The sequence below is a fragment of the Homo sapiens genome, chromosome 7 (genome assembly GCF_000001405.40).
Source record: "Homo sapiens chromosome 7, GRCh38.p14 Primary Assembly".
In the NCBI taxonomy this organism is placed as follows: Eukaryota; Metazoa; Chordata; class Mammalia; order Primates; family Hominidae; genus Homo; species Homo sapiens.
In genome coordinates this window covers 31599541-31622117 of record NC_000007.14, presented here as the reverse complement: position 1 = coordinate 31622117, position 22577 = coordinate 31599541, and the positions used below count along the sequence as shown (strand labels likewise).

The 22577-nt window shown below is 37.6% G+C and overlaps 2 protein-coding genes across 16 annotated transcripts in view; one reads left to right on the top strand and one right to left on the bottom strand.

The window, feature by feature from the left end:
- PDE1C (phosphodiesterase 1C) overlaps positions 1-5341 on the top strand; it is an 811448-nt gene extending 806107 nt beyond the window's left edge. For all 8 annotated transcript variants that reach the window (XR_001744802.1, XR_001744803.1, XR_007060044.1 and 5 more), the window contains one exon: positions 4941-5341. The gene's annotated coding sequence lies outside the window, so the exon portion shown is untranslated. The remainder of the gene's footprint in view (positions 1-4940) is intronic.
- Positions 1-22577, bottom strand: part of ITPRID1 (ITPR interacting domain containing 1) — a 144631-nt gene that overhangs the window by 36603 nt on the left and 85451 nt on the right. The gene's annotated exons all lie outside the window — the stretch shown is intronic.

The following is a 22577-nucleotide window of genomic DNA, read 5'->3' as shown; positions in this document are numbered from 1 at the left end:
CACTCAGGACTTGCTTTATGAATCTGGGTGCTCCTGTATTGGGTGCATATATATTTAGGATAGTTAGCTCTTCTTGTTGAATTGATCCCTTTACCATTATGTAATGGCCTTCTTTGTCTCTTTTGATCTTTGTTGGTTTAAAGTCTGTTTTATCAGAGACTAGGATTGCAACCCCTGCCTTTTTTTGTTTTCCATTGGCTTGGTAGATCTTCCTCCATCCTTTTATTTTGAGCCTATGTGTCTCTGCATGTGAGATGGGTTTCCTGAATACAACACACTGATGGGTCTTGACTCTTTATCCAATTTGCCAGTCTGTGTCTTTTAATTGGAGCATTTAGTCCATTTACATTTAAAGTTAATATTGTTATGTGTGAATTTGATCCTGTCATTATGATGTTAGCTGGTTATTTTGCTCGTTAGTTGATGCAGTTTATTGCTAGTCTCGATGGTCTTTACATTTTGGCATGATTTTGCAGTGTCTGGTACCAGTTGTTCCTTTCCATGTTTAGTGCTTCCTTCAGGAGCTCTTTTAGGGCAGGCCTGGTGGTGACAAAATCTCTCAGCATTTGCTTGTCTGCAAAGTATTTTATTTCTCCTTCACTTATGAAGCTTAGTTTGGCTGGATATGAAATTCTGGGTTGAAAATTCTTTTCTTTAAGAATGTTGAATATTGGCCCCCACTCTCTTCTGGCTTGTAGGGTTTCTGCCGAGAGATCCGCTGTTAGTCTGATGGGCTTCCCTTTGAGGTAACCCGACCTTTCTCTCTGGCTGCCCTTAACATTTTTTCCTTCATTTCAACTTTGGTGAATCTGACAATTATGTGTCTTGGAGTTGCTCTTCTCGAGGAGTATCTTTGTGGCATTCTCTGCATTTCCTGAATCTGAACGTTGGCCTGCCTTGCTAGATTGGGGAAGTTCTCCTGGATAATATCCTGCAGATTGTTTTCCAGTTTGGTTCCATTCTCCCCATCACTTTCAGGTACACCAATCAGACGTAGATTTGGTCTTTTCACATAGTCCCATATTTCTTGGAGGCTTTGCTCATTTCTTTTTATTCTTTTTTCTCTAAACTTCCCTTCTTGCTTCATTTCATTCATTTCATCTTCCATCACTGATACCCTTTCTTCCAGTTGATCGCATTGGCTCCTGAGGCTTCTGCATTCTTCACATAGTTCTTGAGCCTTGGCTTTCAGCTCCATCAGCTCCTTTAAGCACTTCTCTGTATTGGTTATTCTAGTTATACATTCGTCTAAATTTTTTTCAAAGTTTTTAACTTCTTTGCCTTTGGTTTGAATTTCCTCCTGTAGCTTGTAGTTTGATCGTCTGATGTCTTCTTCTCTCGCCTCCTCAAAGTCATTCTCCATCCAGCTTTGTTCCATTGCTGGTGAGGAACTGCGTTCCTTTGGAGGAGGAGAGGTGCTCTGCTTTTTAGAGTTTCCAGTTTTTCTGTTCTGTTTTTTCCCCATCTTTGTGGTTTTATCTACTTTTGGTCTTTGATGATGGTGATGTACAGATGGGTTTTTGGTGTGGATGTCCTTTCTGTTTGTTAGTTTTCCTTCTAACAGACAGGACCCTCAGCTGCAGGTCTGTTGGAGTTTGCTAGAGGTCCACTCCAGACCCTGTTTGCCTGGGTATCAGCAGTGGTGTCTGCAGAACAGGTATTTTTCGTGAATCTCGAATGCTGCTGTCTGATCGTTCCTCTGGAAGTTTTGTCTCAGAGGAGTACCCGGCCGTGTGAGGTGTCAATCTGCCCCTACTGGGGGGTGCCTCCCAGTTAGGCTGCTCAGGGGTCAGGGGTCAGGGACCCACTTGAGGAGGCAGTCTGCCCGTTCTCAGATCTCCAGCTGCATGCTGGGAGAACCACTGCTCTCTTCAAAGCTGTCAGACAGGGACATTTAAGTCTGAAGAGGTTACTGCTGTCTTTTTGTTTGTCTGTGCCCTGCCCCCAGAGGTGGAGCCTGCAGAGGCAGGCAGGCCTCCTTGAGCTGTGGTGGGCTCCACCCAGTTGGAGCTTCCCGGCTGCTTTGTTTACCTAATCAAGCCTGGGTAATGGCGGGCACCCCTCCCCCAGCCTCGCTGCCACCTTGCAGTTTGATCTCAGACTGCTGTGCTAGCAATCAGCGAGACTCCGTGGGCGTAGGACCCGCCAAGCCAGGTGCGGGATATAGTCTCCTGGTGCGCCGTTTTTTAAGCCCGTCGGAAAAGCGCAGTATTTGGGTGGGAGTGACCCGATTTTCCAGGTGCCATCTGTCACCCCTTTCTTTGACTAGGAAAGGGAACTCCCTGACCCCTTGCGCTTCCCGAGGGAGGCAATGCCTCGCGCTGCTTCAGCTTGTGCATGGTGCGCTGCACCCACTGACCTGCGCCCACTGTCTGGCACTCCCTAGTGAGATGGAACTGGTACCTCAGATGGAAATGCAGAAATCACCCGTCTTCTGCGTGGCTCACGCTGGGGGCTGTAGACTGGAGCTGTTCCTATTCGGCCATCTTGGCTCCTCCCCCTTCTTTAACTGTTAAAAGAACACTCTTTACAAACTTACTTGACCATTGATTTCCTCAGCATAGATGAATGAGGTAAATTTTGGAGATTGAAAATAAATCAGATGTTATTCTTATCAAAATGCTATGATACAGTAACTTTACCTGCTTTAAACTTAGCTCTACACATACAGTTGAAACAATAAGTTAGGAACATGTTACATAGAAAACTAATTAATGGTAAAATAATAAGAATTGAAAATTCAACACTGAGAGTTTGGAGTCTGGATTTGTCACCAATCATTGTTGGCACCTAGAATAAATCACTAACTTTATGGACCTTTCTTTTCTCATATGTAAATTATGAGAGTTTACCCAGAAATCTAGTCATTATGCCTTCCATTTTACTATGACAAAAATGTGATCACCTGAAAATAGACATAGAAAGGACACCTTGCCTGTACTTACAAAGAAAAGCAAGAGCAGCTAAAACTGCTTTTGAAAGACTAATGAAATGTTGTGACTAATATACACAGATTAAAGGTAATGTCACCATGCTTTACAAATTGAAAGAAGACAAAGGTCAGTATGGAATCAGGGAAGAGAGCAGAGAGGGATTTCCTCTCTCAGACACAATGTAAGGGGATGAAGAATCAGGTCTTCCACAGTGAATCCTAGAATGCTTTGAGTCACCTACTCTCTCGACACATATGATAAACCATTTTATCCACTTTGGCTTCTTATAACATGCAATGTGCACAACAAAGCATATTTTATAATAAAGTGATAATCACAACTTATATTTGCGGCATATAATTTGGGCATGGCATGCCATTTGGAGTCAGAGGAACCTGGGTTTCATCCTGATGCCAACACTTGCCAGCTGGGTGAACTTGAGCAAGTTGCTTAGCTTTTAAGAGCCTTGGTTTCCTCACTCATAAGCTAAAAATAATTATTGGTAAGCCCTAATACTCAACTATAATTATGGGTTTCTACATTGTGACCCCATTAATGGAGGGGAGTTTATGAAATTTGCTTTTTGGCCTTTCTGGACTCCCTTTTGGTTTCAAAGCCTTTCCTAACATCATCTCTACCTTTTCTGAGAAGAAGGGGCCCCTGGAGGCATTTTTTCTTGGGATTAGGCTTTGGATCAGGAAAGAAATATTTCCCTTCTTGACCAAAAGATTCATGAAACTTGGGTGCCAAGAGTTGGCAACAGCCAGATGCCTCTTCTTCAATAGCCTAATTAGTAGTGGTGTGTGTTAGCAGGAAAGGACAGGGGAGGAACCTCCCAAAGAACAATGTGAATTTGCCCCCTTTGGATTTTCTCATGAACAGTCCTAATTACTTTTTATGGGGTATTGGTTGTATTGTTTAGGGAGAAGTGAGGGGGCAGAAATTGGGTGGTGGCTGGGGAAGACAGACATACATGAAGTGAAAAGGCTGATCTTAAGTTTGGGGAAATGGTCACACCTTTGATCTGGGTGACTTAGTCATAGTCCTTGCTCCTATCACAATGATGGGCACCAAGAGGGCTTTAAGGTTCCCTAAAAGTCTGTGAACCTGATAGGCTTCTGTCATCTCTTGGCTTCTTTAGGATCCCATGGATGCCACAACTACTGGAAACGCTCTGACAGCATAAACAGTTTATCTAATGACAATCAATATGTGTGCTTCTAAAATGCATTTCCTACCATTTTCTTTACTACAAATAGAAAAGGGACTTTATCTTCTTTTCCTGCAGTGATTTGTAGCGTTAGAAGTAAATAAAAGTAACTCTCTTCTTAATAGGTCAAATGTTTTCTTCTGAAACTTAAATAGTCTCCAAATATTTTATCTTCATTTTCATTTTATCTTTATTATCTTCAATTTCAACCAAACTCATTGAACTCATTTTAGGTAGAGTATTATCCTTAAAGTACTGTGGGGGTCGGAGGGAGCACTAATATAAATCAGAAAATGACAAGAGTATCGTGGGTTTTTTTTTCCTTTAAAAGATGGAGCATTAAATCATTTAGAAGGTAAAAGTTGTCTCTAAAGAGCTGCTGTTAATGGAAGAGACTAATCAGGATGTATTTTCTCTTAAATAATTTTGTCTGAACTCTTATCTCCACTCACAATGAAGTTGTTTTCTGTTTTTTACAAAAAGCAGAATAGTTTTGATTTTTATACTAATTCACATTTTCTTTTAATTAAACTGTTGGGGAGATTTGGTTATTATTTCAATGACTCTCTTGCCTACCTCAGAAATGCTTAATACTACATAGAGGTATGATACCTTTGGCAATCTAAAATTTAACACTTATTCTTTAATAGCTTATCAATGAAATACTTGTTGAGAAACCCATTTATATTAATCATCCCCTTTGCAAAGTTAAATTGTTGTTATCTCCATTCTAATTAGAACAGTGTCTCAAACCTATTGAGTTTATAGAAGAAATAATAGGATCTTCCCTTCTCCAGGCTTTTCTTCCTGAAAGATGGCAAATGCTTCAAAAACTGAACAAGTTGATAAATTATACCGGGACGAGCTCACCCACCACTGAAGTGCAACCATCTTTGGGGTAGCTCCCTACAGCTGTTTACCACCATGCTGTGGTGCCTAGGAGCAGTCTGTCATAAAGAAAAGAAGAATGCACTTGGAATATAAGCAACAGGCAATTTGCAGAAGAGAAGATATAATTATCTAGATTGGAATATGACCAGGACAACCATACCATTCCCACAAACCACCAAGAAGGCAAAAAGTAAGCAAGAGAGGTTTGGGTATCTGGTATCTGTTAAGAGAGGTTTGGATATCTGATAATTGTTTGAATCACAATCTAATGTTTTTATGCTACCAAAAAATGAAATTTAGAAACCTTTTTGGTTTTGTCTTTTCTTGTCTCATTCACCTGTACATAATCCTTATGCTGCTTCCTACTTTGGCCACAGAGGAAATCAGGAAAAGGCCATTGAAAACTACTCTTTAAGCTATCTGGGGAATTTACCTTATGATCTAAGATACTATTTATTTCTAAAGCTGAAATAACATTGTGCCTGTGGAATCAATGAGATGATGAAAAAAATGGACTTTGTCAGTGGGTGGAGGGATGTGTTGATGGGCAGATGACCTCCTTCTCCTCAGGGTCCCACCCCCATACTGTACTTCCTCAGAATACATCTTAATACATCACTTTAACACAAACTCTCCCTGAGGTCCATTTCTGGGAATCCAACCTAAGACAGGTGGTAGGGATGATTCAGAACAAAACTCTAAGACCTGCACATTTAAAAATCTGATTATTGAAATCAATAGGACCCAATATGCATATATTCACTACTAGACCCTGAAGGGATAACCATAAATACAATAATTTTTTAGAGAGAGAAATTAGCAATAACTTACATTTAAATTAATCAAAAAGAGGCACGATTAAAAACCATGGTCAATTTAAGATGTTATTAATATATTAACAAATCATAATTCTTGAAAACTGTAAGAATTCCAATAATTTATATTTTTGCATGTACAGTAGGAACCTTGCAACATTGTCATAGCATTGCATAGCAGCTAGACCTTTTAACAGAAAACGGAATTAGAATTCTCAGTAAACTCGGCTGGGTGCGGTGGCTCACACCTGTAATCCCAGCACTTTGGGAGGCTGAGGCGGGCAGATCAGGAGGTCAGGAGAGCGAGACCACAGTGAAACCCCGTCTCTACCAAAAATACAAAAAAAATTAGCCAGGCGTGGTGGCAGGCCCCTGTAGTCCCAGGTACTCGGGAGGCTGAGGCAGGAGATTGGCGTGAACCCAGGAGGCAGAGCTTGCAGTGAGCCAAGATTGCACCACTGCACTCCAGCCTGGGCAACAGAGCGAGACTCTGTCTCAGAAAAAAAAAAAAAAAAAGAATTCTCAGTAAACTCTAACACGCTACTGGTATTAGCCTTCAATTGGTCACTTAGTATGTTATTAGTAATGATCTTGGTCATGTCTAAGAATGAAAGCCTATGTAATTACACAACCATTGTTCATAAGACTCAAAGAATCTCCATTTTAAAAAATTACTTAATGTCTTATTTTGCTTAAGAGAGTACCAAGGACTATACATTGATAATCACTCACATCTTCACATCTTTGTCCACAGAAATAGCATAAGAGAATTTAAAAATGACTTCAAGATGCGTCCATAGTACTAATAACTAACTGCCATTTACTGCTTGCCATTATTGTTCATGGTATTCTGAACACATTGTCTATAATCCTTACAACTGCCAAGCTGGGTAGATTTTATTACGCCCATCATGAAGATGGGAACATTGAGGTATGAGGGCCTCCAATAACTTACCGTAGATTACACAAGTAATACTTATGACCTGATCCTATCTTCATGTTTTTTCCATTAAAGCATGCATGTCAAATCTTTGATTTTTCACTAGTCAGCCCTATATCCATGTCCAAAGACTAAATGGGAAAATATCTACAGTATGTGTTCAGCAAACCTAGATCACCCTTGTTTCTAAGGACTAAGTTCTGGATTATATAACTTTTAGAATTTTGCTAATTTCTATACACTTTCTAGAAGTCGCCTTTATTCTCTTTAAGAAAATTACTATAAAATTAAACTGAAACTAAATTACATTCTCAAGGCTTCAGCCTATAGCTTAAAAATAAATTAATCCCTTGGCTAATGGTGATGGAAAACACTAGCAATGGACCCTCAGTGAGGTGTGGTGTTCATTCCCGCCATACTCCAAAGGACACTCTAGGGTTCCTTGTGATAAAAAATATAAATGGGGCCCCCGAATCAGGAGTTTTCCTCAGTGGCTGTTTCTGAAGTAATTTCAAAAAAATGATCCATGACTGTTCTCAAACCAGATGACAATGATGTTCAATGCTCTCTCCTCAGAGAACCTTTCCTGGCCACCCACTATAATGCAGCTCACTGTGCCACAACGCTCTACACTCTACTAACCCATTTTGTTTTTTATAACCTTTAAAAACGTGAAATTATCTCAGTTAATCAATTAATTCCATAATGTTTACTGAGCATCCATACGTACCAGGAACTGTTCTAAGGATCTGGTATATGGTATTAAATACAACAGGAGAAAATTACTGCATTCATGGAGTATATATACCTATTAAGTGTCTCTCATATCTGCCTTTTGTAGAGGCTTTTTCTGTCTTACTTCAAGCCCTGGACACATAATGGGTGCTCAATAAATATTTGTTTAATTACTAGAATAAGTGTAAATCTGAAACTCTGCATGGAGAGTTTTTTTAACAAGTTATTGAGCTAAAGTTGAGCCTCGCCCTCACTTTTACTCCCATAATCTCACCAAAGTAAAAGGAACTAGATCTAGCCTTCCCCTGTAAAGCATAATTTTATTGGAAAGCATTTATGAAGTTACTTCTTCACCTGCCCTAGATACACAAGAAGATGCACAAGAAGGTATTGGATACTGTATAGGTATTTTAAGCATTGGATGGTTTAGACTAAATGACAATCTAAGACTCCGTAATATCTGGGGTAAAGAACATTGTGTGGTAGAGGGAAGGAGTTCTTAAACTTTGATATACCTGACCTGCATTCAACTCCCAACCCTGGTGCCTACCAGCTGGTTGTTCATGGCAAGTCACTTTACTCCTCTGAGCCAAAGTTCAGCATCTGAAAAATGTGAACAATCCTAACTGCTTAAGGTACTTCACAGGGAATATGGAATATTTCCATAAGGAACTTCCCTCCCCCTACATATGCATTAGCAAATATTCAAGCTCTCATAACATAGTATTCAAGCAAGAATAACACAAATGTAACAATGTCATTATGCTGTGCAGAGGGCAAAAAGAATTCAAAGGGAGATCTGCATTGCTGAGAAGCCACCTTGCAAATTCAGAAAGGCCCAGAGTGCTGTTGGTTATTTAACATAAATATAGACGTAGCCACTGGATTTGGCTTTAGATAGAAACAAAACAAACTGCTGATCATGTGTGAATTTAAAAGAAAAATGGCCTTAAACAAGAATGTCTTTCTTTCTGATTTGTCTTCCTACCTGATATTCTACTAGCAGAAAAATTGAAATTCATTGTTACTGACTAACAAACAGAGCAAATATAGACTCTAAAATGGTAGAATGAAAATAAATATTTTTCTTTGCAAAAATCCCATAGAAACTACAGTAAGCAAATTGGTTTTATTAAAAAGACAAAGAGAGGGAAGTACTTCTGAGGTAGTGGAAATAGAACCTCCGAAACCCCATTCCTCCATAAAAACAACAAGAACGCTGGCAAAACCTGTCAAAATTAACTTTTTCAAAACCCTAGAAATTAACCAAAGGCTTTCAATAATCTGAGGAGCATTTATACGAGAAAAAAAGAGTTGACTATCAATAAGAACAGTGAACTTCGTGGCACTTTAACTTACCCTATTTCCATTACCCTCTCCCCAGCTCTTCATTAGCCTTAAAACAATCAGCCTTGGAATAGTGGTAGCTGTGAAAAACAGCATCCTATCGGTTAAAGGAAGCAGAAAGGGTGTGGACTCTCAAACAAAAAGTCCCATTTCTGGAGAATTATCACTATTAGGCCTATCTGGAAGCTCTCTGGCAAAGCCCATTCAGTAGGCCTGTCTTTATTTGACCTAGTTCAGAGATTCCTAAGTCAGGAAATCCATACCAGCAGGGTGTATGTTTAAAACAATGGTAATTGTTTAATATTATAGCTGCCTGAGACAGTGATACCAACTGGGGCAAAATAATAAACTTGGCTAATAGTGGACTTTGAAAAACTCTGACATATTCGTGTGGATCTACAAAAGGCTGGCTATGCACATGTGCAGGGCTGTGTTCATGCCCAAGAAAGATCTGAGAAGACCCTAATTTCTCACATCTGAAAGACCTCGAGGCTGCACAAACAAGAAGGGAAGACTAACACTGAGTTGTAAATAGGTGGAGCATTGAAGGCATGCTCCAACAAAAACACAGAGACCTTCAGAAAAGGGTGGTAGACATATTTGTTCAAGTCACTTAAAAAAATCTCTGTCCAGTCATTAACTAGGCTATTCAAGTAGGAACTTCAGTGTTGTACTTGACAAAATATATAGGTTTTATAAAGTTAGTCCAGGAAAGTCTCTTTAAAACAAACAAACCAGAAACAACAACAAAACCTAGGAGTATATCTAAGTTCAAGAGTTTTCATATTATCATATCATTTTAAATGTCCAGTTTACAACAAACCATCACAAGACACACAAAGAAATGAGAAAGAATGACCCACACACACAAAAACAAAACAAAACAAAAGCCAATCAATAAAAACTGTCCTTGAGGAAATGCAAATGTTGTTCTCACTAGACAAAAACAAAAAATTAGTTATTATATATTGTTCAAAATAACTGAAGGAGTGTATGAGAAAGAATGTCTCATCAAATACAGAGTATCATAAAGAGGTAAATATCATAAAAGGACCAAATAAGAGTTTAGAGTTGCAAAATATGGTAATTTAAATAAAACATTCAGTACAGGACCTCAACATCAGATCTGAGATGGCAGAAGAAAAAGAATCAGCAACCTTGAAAATAAGCCAATTAAAATTATCCAGCTGGAAAAACAGAAAAAAAATGAATAAAAATGAACAGACCCTCAGAGACCTGTGAAACACCATCAAATATACCATCACACATAATGGGAGTCCCAGAAAGAGAAGAGAAAAGAAAAAGGCATAAAGAATATTTCAATAAATAATGGCCCCAAACTCCCCAATTTTGATGAGAAACAATGTACAGAACCAAAAAGCTCAACAAACTCCGGAGAGGAAAAACTCAGAGAAATACACACTCAGACACATGATAATAAAACTCAAAAGACAAAGTATCTTGTAAGCAGCAAGATAAAAATGACTCATCACATACAAGGGATATTTTAAAAGATTAACAACTGACTTCTTAGCAGAAACCATGCAACCTGAAGGCTGTAGGATGACATTCAAAGCATTGAAAGGATAAAGGAATGTCAATATCAAGAATTCTATATTCAGCAAAACTGAATATAGAATATAGAATATAGAATTCTATAGAATACAGGATATAAAGAGACAATTTAAGACATTCTCAGATAAACAAAAACAGAATTCATCACTTGAAGAACTGCAATATAAGAAAAACTAATGAAAGTCCTTCAGGTGGGAGTGAAAAAACACTAGACAACAACTCAGATTCAAATGAAGAAATAAACAGCACTCATTAAAATAACTACATAGGTAAATATGAAGATGATAAAAATGTATTTTTGCTTGTAATTCTTTTATTCTCATCTGTTTTAAAAGACAATAAAGCAATAATTATAAAATGGAATTGATATAATCATAATGTATAAAAATGTAATGTGTATGACAATAATACCGCAAAGGAGGGAGGAGGAAATAAAACTATACTGGAGAAAATTTTTAACATGCTATTGAAATTGTTGGTACTAATCCTATCTAGATTTTTTAAGTTAAGATATTGGAATTCCCAGGGCAACACCTAGAAAAGTAACTTAAAAAATATAATAAAAGTAATAACAAGATATTTTAAATGGCATACTAGACAATACCCGTTTAACTCAAAAATGCAGTAATGGTGGAATAGAAGAATAAAAAGACATAAGACATATAAAACATATAATGAAATGACAGACATAAATCCTACCTTATCAATAATTACATTAAATCTAAATAGATTAAACATTCTAATCAAAAGAGATTGGCAGCATGGATAAAAATAAAACATAATCTAACTACATGCGGTCCACAAGAGAAACATTTTAAATTCAAAAAACACATAGGTTCCAAGTAAAATAATGAAAAAGATATATTATCCAAATAGTAACCAAAACGTAGCTGGAATGGCTATATTTTTATATACTATATCATATCATATTACCTATTATATAGACAATAAGATAAAAATTGTTAATAAAGACAAAAACATTTTATAATGATAAAAGAGTCAATCTATTAGGAAGACATAACAATTAAAAACACATGTAGACCTGAAAACAGAGTCCCAATTAAACAAACTGACAGAAATGCAGAGAAAAACAGATAATTCAACAATGGTTGAATACTTTAAAACTCCACTTTCAATAATGGATGAAACAATTAGAAGACCAACAACAAAACAGAAGATTTGAACAATAATAATAAATTGAAATGTTTAATCTATTTAGACTGAATGTAATTATTGATAAGATAGGATTTCTGTTTGCCATTATACTATGTGTTACATGTCATATCTTTTTATGCCTTTACTCCTGCATTACTGCATTTTTTTGAATTAAATAGGTATTTTCTAGTATGTCATTTTAAATAAATCAAGTAGTCCTAATAGACATCTGTAAAAGACACCACCTAAAAAAATAATATCTATGAGAAGAATACTTACATTTCTCAACTGTACATGGAACATTCTCCAAGCAGGATAGACCATATGATAGTCCACAAAATAAGCCTCAATAATTTTAAAGAGTTGAAATCATACAAAATAACATTTCTGACTGCAGCAGAATGAGATTAGAAATCCATAGAAGAAGAAAATTTAGGCAATTCACAAATATGTAGCAATTTTTTAAAACACTCCTAAGTAATGGGTCAAATAAGATATCACAGGGAAATAGAATATACTTCAAGATGAGTGAAAACCAAAACAAAACATATCAAAATGTATGAATGCAGCAAAAGCAGGCTTTGAGGGGAATTTTTAGCTATAAATGTCTATATTTAAAAAGAAATAGAATCTCAAAAATTACCTAACCTCTTACCTTAAACTACACAAACAGCAAACTAAATGCAAAGCAAGCAGAATGAAAAAAAATAATAAAGATTGGAGCAGAGATAAGTAAAATAGACAATGGGAAAACAATACAAAGAATTTTAAAAAAGAAGTTTTTCTTTGAAAAGATCACCAAAACTGACAAATCTTTAGCTAGAATGATAAAGAAAAAAGTCAGAAGATTCAGTTAATAAATTATGAATGAAAGAGAGGATGTAATTACTAATTTTCTAGAAATAAAAGACAATTATACAAATACTGTGAATGACAAATTAGATGACTCTGGTGAGATGGATACATTTCTAGAAAGGTATAAGGTATTGAAACTTATTCTAGCAGAAACAGAAAATTTTAATAGACCTGTAACAAGTAAAGTTATTTAATTAGAAATTTTAAAACAGTCCACAAAGAAAATTTCAGGCCCAGATGGCTTTGCTGATATATTCTACCAAATGTTTAAAGAAACATTAATAATATTTCACAAACTCTTCCAAAAGATATAAGAGAGAGGACACATCCCAACTTATTCTCTGGGGCCAGTATTACTTTGATACCAAATCTAGACAAAGACATTACCAGAAAAATCCTTGTGAATATAGATGTAAAAATCCTAAACAAAATACTAGCAAAACTGAATCTGGAAATATAAAAAATGGATTATATGCCATGATTATGTGGAACCCATCTCAGGAATGCAAGGCTATTTTAACATCTGAAAATCAGTGAATTTAATACACAATGTTAAAAGAATAAAAGAAAAAAACCACATGGCCGCCTCAATTGATGCCAAAAAAGCATTTGACAAAATTTAACACAATGTTATGATATGAACACCCAACAAACTAGGAAGAGAACTGAATATCCTCTACCTATAAAAGACATCTACAAAAAGGCCATCGCTAACATCATACATAATGGTAAAATACTAAAATTTTTCCCCATAAAATTAAGAAGAAAATAAGGATGTCCACTCTCTCCTCTTCTATTTCCAGGATAATAAGGCAAAAAGAAAAAAGAAAAAAAATTCAGAATCAAAGGAAGAAGTAAAACTATCTCTACTTGCAGATAATATGGTCTTGTATATAAAAATCCGCTATAGAATTATTAGAACTAATAAATGAATTCAGCAAAGTCACAGGATATAAGATCAATATACAAAAAATAATTTTATTTCTACATACTAGCAATAAGCAGCCCAAAATTAAATTTACAAGAACAATTTCATTCACAATAACATTAAAAAGAATAAAATATTTAGAATAAACTGAACCAAAGAACTACAAGACTTATACATGTAAAACTACAAAATGCTGCTGAAAGAAATTAAAGAAGACCAAATAAATGGAAAGATATCCCATGTTGTGAATCAGAAGACTTAATGTTGTTAAGATGGCAATAGTCTCCAAGTTGATTTGAAGATAGAATACAATTTCTATCAAAATCTCAGCTACCTTTTTATATGGAAATTGACAAGCTGACCCTAAAATTCTTATGGAAATGCAAAGGACATAAAGTAGTCAAAATAATCATGAAAAAGAAGAACAAAGGTGAAAGATGTATTTCCTTATTTAAAACTTACTACAAAGGTACAATAATGAAGACAGTGTGTTAGTAGTATACAGACAGACATATAAATTAATAGAATAGAACTTAGAGAGATTAGAAATAAGATTGTACATTTAAAGCCAACTGATTTTCAACCAAGGTACTAAGGTAATTCAATGGAGGAACAAATGATGTTGGGATAACTAAATATCATGATAAAACAGAAACTATGCAGTGAGATGAAAACTTTACAGATACATACATAAATATGTGCATGTATACACAGAAACTATCATTGATCTTTTCAAAGAGATAAGAGGAAGCATAAGCATTGCAACCATGACAAAAAAAAATAGGATGCTATGGGAGAAAACATTCTGAGAACATAAACTTCACGAGGTTAAATACATAAAAACAGAAATAAATTTAATTAAAGTGCTGGAAGATAAACTGAGAAAGTCTTCCAAAAATTAGGCTAAAAAATAAAGAAATGAAGAAACAGGGGAGAAAATTTGAGAAAGAGGACTAATTCATGAGTGTCAGTATTCACATTGTAGATTTTTTTGAAAAAGAAAATTTGTGCTTAAAATTATTGACAGATAATTTAAAACTGAAGGGCATGGGGTTGTGATTGAAATGGACCCTGAGAACCCAACCTAATGGATGAAAACAGACCAACACATATTATTATAAAATTTCAGAGCAGTAGAGTCAAAATGAAAATCTATAAGCTTCTGGAGAGAGTAACAGAACAGAGTTCACTGTAGCTTTAGACTTTTCAACAGCACAACACAAGAAGACAATGGAGCAAGGCCTTCAGAATTCTGAAGGAAATAATTTCGGACCAAGAAATTGATGCTGAGCCAACATACTTATCAGGTGGATTAAACATTTTCAGAATGTTTAAACACGAGGTCTCAAAAAGTTTGCCTCCTTTCCTTATTTCTTAGGAAGCTACTCAGACAGTCTGGCATCAAAGCGAAAGCATCAGTCAAGAGAAGGAAGTGGCCCAAAAATGGGAGATCCAGCAAGGATCCAAACAAGAGAATCTCCAAATTAATTTTGCTAAGATATCCTAGAATGACAACTGTACATCAGGCATTAAGAACAACCGTCTTGCAGGTGGGAAAGCACACTGAGGACAGAGTTTTGTTTTCTGATTATACATTCTTTGAATCTAATAAAATTGTTGGAGCATGTTTCAAAAATAGAAAAAAAGGACTATCCAAAGAAAGAAAGACATGAGCTCTAGGAAAGAGAGAATCAAACTCAAGAAAAAGGCAAAGAGAAACCCAAGGATGACAGCTTCATTGCAGTCTTGGAAAACATCTTATCCAGGGAGAAAAATAATAAAAATGACCAAAAGAGTAGATACCAAGAGTAAGGTAAAATTATTAGATTTACTAGATTACCTGAAATAAAAATTTACCTCTTGAAAAAAGTATATTGAGAAGATATTGAAAGGCATAGAAAGAGTTGCCAATATGCACAAAAGAAAATAACCAGAAAGAAAACAATTTCCTTTGCTGGAAATACCTTGGTTCATATATTTTTTTCAACATCTCCATGTAAATTTTCGGTTTCCCCTTCAATTTTCCTGATGAAAACTCCAGTTGATATAATATTTGATATTGATATTTGAAAGAAATAGTCTAATGGACATAAGAATTTTTTAAAATTTCTCTAAGCACGAAATTCTTTCTCCATATCAAGTCTGATCAAAAGCAATCTATGGTACTGGACTACATATCTTTGCAGTTTTACCTAAGTGGCATTTGTTTTATTTAAACATCTAGGGTTTAACCATCATGAGTTATCTTTCCTTTTTTTTCCTCTCTCTCTCTCTCGTTTTCTTTTCTGTGTCACTTCACTATGAAGATATTTAGCAAAGGATTTGGCTTTGTTGACTTTTTATCATAGATATAAATACAGCCCCTGAGAAATCTTTGCTGATCCTATTCTCCCATTGAACAAACATTTATTGAGCTTCTAGGTGGTGTCAGGTCCTACACACGGGATTAACAGGGTATGCATGTCAGGATTTTTGGACCCCTAGGGAATCATAATTTCTTCACATCATAGTTAACAGAGAGCAAATACTGGTTTTTTAAATAGTCCTATTTATCAGAAGGCAAGAATTTACACTATTATCTATTAATAGAGTAAGAATCATTATGATAAACACAGAACTTTGAAACTCCCTTAGACCAACTCTATACATTTTAATGAAATTTAATGAACATAGAATATCTACACATTCATATTATGTTTTATAAAATAAATTTCAAAACCTATTGGCTAATGCATCAGTCCATGACCAAGGTTCCACCTGTGAGACTGCCATGCAGGTGGGCAAATTGCACATGCTAAAGGAAATAGACCATGTCAGATATCATCATTGAGGTCTGTATGGGCACCAGAAGCCGGCTAGAGTTGGCAGCAGAAGAAACCAATCAAAATCTCAGCTGCTCTGGCACTGAGCCACTTTCCAACCTCTCTTCCCAGGGAGAAGAATCAGCCTCACCTCTGGCTTCAACTTTCCCAGGAAGAGTAGAAGGGGAAAATGCCAACTCTTTTTTCCAAAGCAAGAACGGCCAGAATAAGATCAGTTATGAGAGAAAGAACCCTAATACCCAAAGCCTCTTCTATCACCAGTTTCCTTTTTACTGGTATGCCTCATTTGCTCAACCTTTTCTAAAGTCTCATGCTTATCATAAGGGATGATGTTTGCTACAGGAGACAAGAACTAGGATCTTCCTTCCAACATGTCCCTGAAAAGGAGGAGCGAAGCTATGATGTTTCCATTGCTTGCTCCCAAACCATTGATCTTTAATTTCATACTACCTGAGAATTTTAGCACAACACAAACTCCTTAGTGAATGGCCTAGGTTTCTTGATGCAATATTCACCTTGAATTGTTTTATACTAGCACTTGGGCAGTAATTAAAGGGACCTAGAAAGAAGCAGGGGAATTGTGGAGGTGAGCTGGGGAAAGAATAGGGAATAAAAGTAAGACAAAGAGCACCTGAAATACATCAGCTTTGCCTCCCCTTCCTTCTGCCTTGAAGGCTTCTATCAACTACCTTGGCTACACCCTCCCTTCCTACCATAATCACCTCTCCAGATTCAAAAAGGCCTGTGAAAGATTTATTTTCTCTTTTTTTTTTTGAGATGGGGTCTCCCTCTGTCACCCAGGCTGGAGTGCAGTGGCACGATTTCGGTTTACTGCAACCTCCACCTCCCAGGTTCATGGGATTCTCCTGCCTCAGCCTCCAGAGTAGCTGGGATTACAGGTGCCTGCCACCACCCCCGGCTAATTTTTTTGTATTTTTAGTTGAAATGAGGTTTCACCATATTGGCTAGGCTGGTCTTGAACTCCTGACCTCAGGTGATCCTCCTGCCTCAACCTCCCAAAGTGCTGGGATTACTGGCATGAGGCACCCTGCCTGGCTGAGAGATTTATTTTCTAACCTCCTTCCAAAACACCACCAGGCTAAAATAAAAGGGTTCTCGATTTCCTATCTGACATAAGCTATCCCTTGAAAAAACTGAGAAACACATCTCTTGTTAAACTTGTTAAACGTAATTTTTATAGGAAGCATAGAAAAGCATGCTCTTTTCTATCTTCATATCTAGCATAGTTCTAGGGGTGGGTGGTAGTGGTTTAGACTGCTTATTACTAAGTTTGAACTTAAATCAACACAACCCCTAGTTAAATCATAAATTTGGTTTGTTCCCCGTTTGGTGTGGACCATTTCAACCATACCTTGATTTTAATACTCCCTTAGAACAGAAGGGTTTTCTCTGTTGAACTGTAAATCTAGTTCTACCAACATTTTTACATTAGGATGGTATCTTAACTATACAAACATAGCAACATTAAATTTTTTGCTAGAGAAATAAAGGGATGCCTTAGTAAGAATCAAAGCTTTGAAATCACATAGATCTGTGAATACTAGCTCAGTTACACCCTTGCTGAATTATTTTGATCCAATGACTTATCCTCTCTGAGCTGTGGTTCCCTCATCTGTAAAATGGGAGTAAAATCCACTTGCTCCCATGGTGGTTTTAAGGATGAATTAAGAATGTAAAGTGCTTTATGTAGTGCCTGTCGCACAGAATGCTCAAAAAAGGGCTACTTCCATTCCTTACAGCCCCACATACTAACCCCCGTGTAGATGCCACAGCAGCCCTTAGCTGACAGATGGCTACAAAGATGCATGCAAAGGGTCCTTAAAAGGAGTAACAATTTAGTTAGGTACATATGTTTTGTATACAGCTAATTATAATACAAGGCAAAATGTATTAAGGCCTATGGTAAAGGCAGGCATCAACAACATTTACAGGAGCACTAAAGGAGGAGTATGTCTAGGGAGCAGCGTTCCTGGAGGAGATGACAGAAGAGGTAATCATCGCACTAAGACCTTGAAAGATGGATGACTTTTGACATATGAAAAAGGAGATTGGAAGTGAAGTCTGAAAAAAGGAGCAATGTAGCTACAGAGATGCAAAATTGGGCGATTGTGGGGGACACTAAGCAATCCAACATACACAGAGTCTGGGCTGTGGGAGAGGAAGTAAGGTGGTAAGAATGGGCTGAGGCCAGAATAAGAAAGACCTTGAATTCAATTCTACGGGGATTCACATTTATTATTTAAACAAGAGAAATCAATATTTAAAAATTGTGAATGAACACTACAGTGTCCTTATGGAAGTAAAATGCCCCAAACAAGTGTAGTGTGTTATATCTATAGAACTTAGCATCAAGCAACTGCCCCTTTCATTCGAGAGTGAATAATACCAGGCTTCACACTATTGGAACATACTCAGTCAATTAAGAAAAGTACTGATTGCCGGCTGCAAAATATCCCCATGGTGCCAAAGTGTCTGTGGAGTGGGTGGGGAGGGGGAGGGAAGGTGTGATAATTAAAAGAATTGTTACTTGCAATGTCACAGGAGCCAATGTGTTAACTCGGCATGCTGGGAAGCTAGAATGCTCCCAGCTGCCACGGGGAGGGAGGATGTGGTTTGATCCCTGGCACCACTCGTTGGGACAAGATGAATCACAAATGTGTTAATAGTGAGGTTCCATGTCATAATGTGCCAGATGGAGGTGGTTACATCTCTGATTGATTGCCTCCTGGCCAAGACAGGAGTTTTCCAGAAGGCAAACGTCTCCAAATTGGCATTCAAGCTCTAGGGATCAGCAGGTCTTTATCATGGTCAACATGGACCTGACATTCTCGACTTTATGAAGTGTGGCTACCCCCAAGACATGGGCAGCCAGAAACAGTATCTGGATGAGGAAAGATGCGATGAGGGGGTGATATATGGAAGAAACAGGTTTGTGCTTGACAGAGCTCCTATGGCTAAGCATGACTATTAACGAATCTATGAATGTACTGGAAATAAAGGGGAGGGGGTGGGGAGATGCAGGGGGTACCCTGCTTGTGAACAAAATAAATAACCAGAGAGAGAAAAATAAAGGCAAAAAAGAGAAAGAGCAGGATAGAAAATACTTCCCAGCCTCAGACACCAAATCCCCAAAGCAGATGAGTCTAGATGCCAGGCTGAGGCCACCGGGCAGGAATATAGAGCAGGGGACAGCAAGACGACTCTCCTGTCCATTCCCTTCCACTCACCCCGATGGCGACTACCCAGCCCTTTGTTGCTGCTGCTTTTTTCCCCCAGTGCAAGCTTCCAACGACAAACAGCCAACTACAAGGGCAATAACTGTGGTGTCCTACTGGGAACTAATGCAGCCTCTCGTGCAGGCGCTGGGTCCTAATACAGGACAGTGAATAAAGCTTCATTACAGAACAATGGAGTTAGCTGCCAGAGCCTACAGATTTGAATAAACAACAAATAAGCAACATCTGCTCCAGCATATGTGTATGGTAAAAAAAAGTCACAAAATAAAAGAATTTGTAAATGCCAAAAGCAACACTAAACTGCCAGTGCTACTGTAGAGTGAATTTTTAATTGCACATGCAAAGAGGCAGGCTGTGGGTATTAGTCTCACATATGTCTTGTTGCTGCCAACCTGGGAGTATAGATGAATTTAATTAAATAAGGATTATCCCTTCTCCCCAGTACAATTACTTATTTATAACAATGATAAAATTGCCTAATAAAAAAATTGTAATATTTTAAAAACAAGGCTAGAGAACACCCTGCTTTCTGTGTAAGTCGTTCGGGGCTGTTTGAATTTGAGTGTGTCTTTTAAAATTAAGTCTATGCCTACTGCCAAGGAAGAAAAAAAAAACCCCTTATCATAAAGCCTGCTGCAGTTAAACAGCCAGAGACTACATTATGGAGAAATATAAAGAAGACACAGAGCAGCATGGAAATTGACTTTCATGGGTGTGTAGAAAATTAAGCAATTGGACTCAAATTGAGGCCAGGTGACTAAGCCAAGGGACAGGGCCACTGAGACTTGTTCTCCACCAGTGTTCTGGTCGCCCGTGAGCAGTTCCCTTCGTGTTGGTTATCCCTCTTCCATATGCACTAATTCCCTGAAAATGAACAGCACTACCCAAAACAAAACAATAACAAAAGAGATGGGCACTCTCGTCCCTCTTCTCAGTGACGGTAGAGTCCCTTTTTACCTCCACATTAGCAACCTGCATCATCACGGAGGCCAGTGGTAATAAACCAGGTATGAAACTAGAGACAGCAAAGTAGATTCATGTGTAGGATGTTACTACAGAAATCAGTATCTTCTGAGTCTCAGGATCTCAGTTTCTTTCATCTTTGAGCAATTTTGTTATTTAATCACTTTTCCTCACTAGGATTCAAGGCAAGTCAGAGCACTTGACCAGGGGCATTCTCTCAAGGTCAATTCAGAGGGCAACCAGAACCAAAAGATAGTCAAGGTGTCTAAGTGTGTGGCTGTGGGCAGTTACACAATCGTTCTACCTCAGTTTCCTTATCCGTGCAGTGGCAGTGGTAAAACCAGAATTCACCTCCAAAGAAAGTTTCCATGAATTAATATGTGTAAAGTGACTGAAGCCTCAGTAAGTACTCATTCAATAAACATTGCCAAGAATTTAAAAGGATGCTTTATAAGGCACCTAGATCTGTATCTGTCTCTCCCTGGATGTTAGCAGCTTTCTATTTATCTATTGTTTTATTTCTTCCTGACACTTATCACAATTGTAATTCAATAAGTAATTGATTTCTTCTGATACTTACAAATTCTATGAGACTAGGGTCTGTTTTCCTTCTATTTGTATCTTCAGCATTCTCTTAAGGTCGACTCAGGAGGCAACCAGAATCAAAAGACAGTTAAAGTCTTACAGGTGGCTAGGCATGAGCAGGGCAGAAGACGGCTCTCCCCCAACCCACTAGGAATCTTGGGTGATGTTTTGGCAATTATTGCATTACCTCTTTAAAAACGATAACTTGGCAACCCCAGGGAGAGGCCATTTCCTGATGATCCACACCTGTTAACATCAAACTAGTAGTTGAATTCAAGCCCCAGGAAGAAGCAACTTCCTGGGCATGCATGTTGAGAGACAAAAATGGTGAAGTATGATCTTCCGGGTACACTCCACCAGAAAAGGGAAGAAAGCCTCGATGATTCCCATCGAGGAATAACTCCCTAAACAGACCACCTGTGGTCACTTCTCAAGGGTAAGGAAGGCTCTGCGCATGCAGGCAGCTCACCCCAAGGGAAGAATCATGGGAAAGAGTTGGGCTTATAAAGTCCTAGGATCCCGGTTATGCAACGCACTTGGCTTTCTTTCTCTCTTTAACCTTTTTCTGTAGGAGCATACATTTTACTTTATGACTTGGTTTTGTCCCTTAACTGTAGGCCTTTAAACCACTATGTGATGAAATACCAGTTGTGTTCTCATTTTTAAATGACTGCATAATTGTCCACTTTATGCGTCATTTTTTAAACAATCCCCTTTATTGAAATGTTTAGGGCAGTTCTAATTTTTTACACCTCTCTTATAATTGCCTTAGAGCAACTTTCTAGAGGTTATACACAGGTGAAAAGGTAAATAAAGTTAAAGCTTTCTGATACATATTGTTATATTCCTTCCAGAAAGCAATGTGCTTCCTTGCCAACATTAGCTTATATGAACTCTTAAACCTCCACCAATTTAATAACTCATTTGTCTATTTGGCTATAATTTTAAGTTGTATTTCTTAGATTATAACTGAGGTTGAAAATTGCTTCATTTACATATTTCTTATGTAGTAAAATTTCTACTGACTTTTTTTGTTAAATCTTTTGTTAAAAATACTTTGTGAAATATTTGGAAATATTTCAAACACATAGAAAATATAGAAAATAACTGGCTGGGTGCGGTGGCTCACGCCTGTAATCCCAGCACTTTGGGAGGCAGAGGCCGGCGGATCACGAGGTCAGGAGATCCAGACCATCCTGGCTAACATAGTGAAACCCCGTCTCCACTAAAAATACAAAAAAAACTTAGCCGGGCGTGGTGGCAGGCGCCTGTAGTCCCAGCTACTCGGGAGGCTGAGGCAGGAGAATGGCCTGAATCCGGGAGGGTTCAGTGAGCTGAGATCGCGCCACTGCACTCCAGCCTGGGCGACAGAGAGAGACTCCATCAAAAAAAGAGAAAGAAAGAAAGAAAGAAAGAGAGAGAGAGAGAGAGAGAGAGAGAGAGAAAGGAAAGAAAGAAAAAGAAAGAAAGAAAGAAAGAAAGAAAGAAAGAAAGAAAGAAAGAAAGAAAGAAAGAAAGAAAATAACACAACAAATACATATTCTTCATAGCCACCGATCAGCTCTA